This window comes from Homo sapiens, chromosome 2, assembly GCF_000001405.40.
Source record: "Homo sapiens chromosome 2, GRCh38.p14 Primary Assembly".
Classification (NCBI taxonomy): Eukaryota; Metazoa; Chordata; class Mammalia; order Primates; family Hominidae; genus Homo; species Homo sapiens.
Window position 1 is genome coordinate 78776433 of NC_000002.12, and position 4983 is coordinate 78781415.

General features: G+C 46.1%; 1 annotated feature.

The window, feature by feature from the left end:
- Positions 2631-3130: an enhancer, noted in NCBI's record as "H3K27ac hESC enhancer chr2:79006189-79006688 (GRCh37/hg19 assembly coordinates)". NCBI's record gives its function as "activates a minimal SCP1, AML or CMV promoter by ChIP-STARR-seq in primed H9 embryonic stem cells {active_cell/tissue: H9 hESC(primed)}" and the evidence as "EXISTENCE:reporter gene assay evidence [ECO:0000049][PMID:30033119]".

A 4983-nucleotide genomic window follows, 5' to 3' on the forward strand; every position in this document is an offset into this window, starting at 1 on the left:
GGTTGCAGCAGGGAAAGAAGTCTGATCTTAACGCAGCTGAACAAGGAAGAGGAGGAAACTTCAAATCTGCCTCCCAAGGAGCTTAACGATAGGGATTTTAAGGGGGTTAATCAAGTATTGTGCTGGAGTGTCGGGATCATTGATTGGTTAAAGAGTTCACGGTGAAGGCATGGGATGGAGAGATGAAGAAACTGCCTTCTCATGCTGATTCGGTTCCTCTGTGGGGTCTTCAAGCTGTCTGGAATCAGCCATTCCCCAGGAACTCATGATCTGAAAAACATCTTAAGCAACTCTAAAACAAAAACTTGTCTAATGTCAAAGATCATATCTCTACTAACAATGAGGATGCAAAAGTCAGTATCTGGTGACTTTTGGTTAACAAGCAGCTACAAAGAAGTAGGACAAAGTGCAGCCTGATTAATGCTTAATTATATTTCTGTCCAGAACATGGTAAATAATTCTTGTTAATTTTGTGAGGATGTAGGCTCAGCTAGAGGGAGGAAAGGAAAGATAAAGAGAGCTCAACTGCAGGGGTAGCTGCAGGTAAAAGGACAGAAGGATCCTGCATGAGACCAAAGGGAATGGCGTGATGCAGAAACAGGAAATGCATGCATGATCCACCTGCATGGTCAAATGTTCCATGAACAATCCCACAAAGTTTCTGAGTGCCAGAATCTTGCAGAAGCATCGAATACACACCATGTCACCCCAAACTGGCATTAAAGTAGCAAGGAGGACTTCTGAGACTAAAGTAACCATATTAATAGGAGGGGGTGTGTGAATGTGGACTTTACTCGGACAGGATCTCTGTTTTGTTCTCCTCTACCTCCCCATCTCCTACAACATGTCAGGCACGTAGCAGATGCTCAGTTAATTTTGTCTTATGGGAACCCAAATGGACCAAAAGCTAGACAGAAAGACAGACCTGGCAGTATATTCTTTCATGAAAAGGGTCTTGAGGACCAGTAACTCCCATCATTTTCCACCTACCTTTGCTTGGTTTAACGTTTTAATATTCCACACTCATGAAGGAATTCAGGTATACACCAGGAAAATCGGAGGAAAGTTTGATGGAGATTACGTTTCTGCCCCCTAATGGAATGGGAGCTCATACGAGAAAGCAATGCTCATTTATTACTAAACGTTTGTTTATTGAGCCCCTATTATGTGCCAGACACTGTTCTAAGCACTGGGTATATGTCAGCAAACCAACACAAAGTTATAGAAACATAAAGTTTTGTTTCTTGAACATAACTAATGTTTTTAAACCTCATGGTAGGTTAAGTACTATTAAATATTATATGAGTAATAACCCAAGAGGACCCTCAAAGTAGACATTATAATACATGCTTTATAGATTGAGGAAGCTGAAACGCAGAAAAATTACTTATTATGCCCAAGGTCACTAAAATAGTAAAAGTAGATTCATGTTATGAACCTAAGCCAGTCAGGCCCAAATGCCATGTTTAGAATTATAATTTCTCAAACTGAGCTGTGTATTCTCTAAATCCTGATGACTCGGAAGTACAACCCTAGCCAGAGCCTCTCCCTTGGACTCCACGTCCCTACATACAAATGCTTATAGGATATCTCCAATCGGATGTCCCACTGACACCTCAAGCTCAGCTTAAAAAAATTAAAACTGAAACCCACACTGATCTTTCCAATTTTTCCTGGGTTTCTTCCCACAGGAAATGCCATCCTTTCAATCTACATTTACCACACCATAAATTTGGCTTTCTTCCTTTTTGTCTTCCCTCCCCCTCCCCCACAGGCCATCCCTCATCTAACCGAACAGCAGGTTCTGTTGCTTCTCTTCTCCTAACATCTGTCAAGACTTTCCCTATCTGGTGGTATCATCTCTTGTTTGCAGTATTTTAATGGGCTTCAGGTTTGTTCCTCCAACTCAAACTTCTGCATCATCATCGCCACAATCTAGCTAAACTGATTTTTATGAAATAAAAATCTGACCATTTCATGCCCATGTCATCGTGCCTTACAAATAAAGCCCAGCTTTTGTTGACGTACCATATAAAACGAATTATGTGGGTCCTATCTGCTATCTAAGTTTCACCTCTCACCCTTTCCTCTTTCAGTCTTCCCTTTTCTCTTTCAGTCCTACTAATTGGAATCCATCAGATACACAATCTGCACATCTGCAAATATTTTGTCTTATTTTTAAAAAAGGCTTTATCATTCCTTCTTCATCAGGATAAAGACAATTGATTGTCAAGGTACCAGTGTAAATGCCATTTCATCTGGGAAATCTCTTTTAACTCCTCTGAAGTTATATCCTCTTTGTGTGCTCATTCCTGGTTGCTACTTACCATATGACTCTCCACTCCTCTGTCTTCTCCTGAAGACCACATTTCCCTTGATGTGCTGGTGAGAGGTGACAGCGTGCTAGCAGCCCTCACTCGCGCTGGGCCCCTCTTCGGCCTTGGCGCCCACTCTGGCCGTGCTTGAGGAGCCCTTCAGGCCGCCGCTGCACTGTGGGAGCCCCTCTTTGGGCTGGCGGAGGCCGGAGCCGGCTCCCTCTGCTTATTGGGAGGTGTGGAGGGAGCGGCGCGGGCGGGAACCGGGGCTGTGCGCGCGGCGCTCGCAGGCCAGCGCGAGCTCCCGGTGGGCGCGGGCTCAGCGGGCCCCGCATTCGGATCGGCCGGCCAGCCCCGCCGGCCCCGGTCAGTGAGGGGCTTAGCACCCAGGCCAGCAGCTGCAGAGGGTGCGCCGGGTCCCCCAGCACTGCCAGCCCGCCCGCGCCGCGCTTGAATTCTCGCCAGGCCTCAGCCGCCTCCCCGCGGGGCAGGGCTCGGGACCGGCAGCCCGCCATGCGCGAGCGCCCCCGCGTGGTGGGCTCCCGCACAGTACAGCCGGAGCCTCCCTGACGGGCGCCACCCCCTGCTCAGGGGCTCGCGGTCGCATCGACTGCCGAAGGGCTGAGGAGTGCGGGCCCGCGGGGCGGGACTGGTGGGCAGCTCCTCCAGTGAACCCCGCGACGGATCCACTAGGCAAAGCCAGCTGGGCTCCTCAGTCAGGTGGAGACTTGGAGAACTCTTATATCTAGCTGGAAGAGTGTATATGCACCAATCAGCACTGTGTCTAGCTCAGGGATTGTAAATACACCAATCAGCACTCTGTGTCTAGCTCAAGGTTTGTAAACGCACCAATCAGCACCCTGTCAAAACAGACCAATGAGCTCTCTGTAAAACGGACCAATCAGCTCTCTGTAAAATGGACCAATCAGCTCTCTGTAAAATGGGCCAATCAGCAGGATGTGGGTGGGCTCAGATAAGGGAATAAAAGCAGGCTGCCCAAGCTAGCAGTGGCAACCTGCTCAAGTCTGCTTCGGTAGTGTGGAAGCTTTGTTTTTTTACTTGTTGCAATGAAACTTGCTGCTGCTCAGTTTTTGATTTTGCACTGCCTTTATGAGCTGTAATCCTCACCGTGAAGGTCTGCAGCTTCACTCCTGAGGCAAGCAAGACCACGAAGCCAGTGGGAGGGATAAACAACTCCGGACAGGAAAAATGAACAATTCCAGACGCGCCGCCTTAAGAACTGTAACACCCACTGGGAACGTCTGCAGCTTTGCTTCTGAAGCCAGCGAGACCATGAAGCCACCAGAAGGAAGAAACGCCAAACCCGTCTGAACATCAGAAGGAGAAAACTCCAGACACACCATTTTTAAGAACTGTAACACTCACTGCGAGGGTCTGTGGCTTCATTCTTGGAGTCAGTGAGACCAAGAACCCACCAATTTCGGACATGCTGGGAACATATCCTGGTAACTGTGTGTCCTTATTTCTCAGCACAATGCTTGCTACCTGAGAGGAGTGCAATTAAAACAGCGACCACAATAACAACCACTTGAATGAATGGAAGAATGATTACATTAATTTCTGCTGGGAAGTGAGTAAGCAATAAACCAACCCAAATTTGGGAGAGAAAACATTTGTAAAGCAAAATCTGGCATAAGAGGACCGTGAAATTAAAACAAGGATGGGATCATAAATCTTACTCTAACTGGATCAAACCAGCAGCCTTCTCACTTTCTATCAGCCAAATGCAGAGCGGCAGCCACAGCTGCCTTTTCCCTGAAATCCAAATATAGTAACAGTTTTCTTTGTACTGTATCACTGCACTCACAGCAGCAGATTGTTAATAATTGGGTATATCAGCTTCTGAAGCAGCAAGCGAGGTTGATCAGATTAAAACACGAACAAGACTGAAAACAAGAGAGCAGTGGAATTAAAAATATTTATTAGAATAATTCTGGCTAGCCAGGGACTCAAAGCTCTGGCGATTAGATGAGAGTAGTTTATGCTAAAGGGGAAGTACTGGATAAGAAAACTGAACAAAACCTAATCTTCCTTCGGGATAACAGAGATCTTACCAGGCTGCTGAAACTTTCTAGTCACATGGCCTTAGATCTAAGTCACGTTATGTTCTTCATCTTTAAATTGGGAATAACAGTATCTTCTTCTAATTGCTTGGGATGTTTTGAGGCTCAAATGAGGGCAAGACAAGAGTGTTCGATAAAGTCCAAGGTCTGCCAAAGTATAAGATCACGTGGTTTCTTCTGCTTAAAGACCTCTCACCAACCAATTTCCAGTGAAGTGAGATTAAAGCAGTGGTTCTTTCTGGGTGTGCTACTGCCTTGTGGAGTGTGTTTTAGAAACCTGTATATCATTTTTAGTTGGGGATGATAGAAGGAGCTACTGAAATTAAATGCGCAGGAGCCAGTGTTGCTAGTTGCACTACAATGGGCAGAACAATAACATGCAATGAAGAATTTTCCAACCTATGGCAAGAAATAATTAAAAATTGTCCACTATGGCAAGACTTTATAATGTCTTGAAGTAGGTAAAAAGACCTTTACGATTACTGGAAGCTAAAAAAGGGCCTCTGCAAATATTTATCCGCTGCACAAGGAATGTCTGACTGTGGGGCCAAGTAATGCCAAAGCCCAGCCAAGCCATGTGCCCT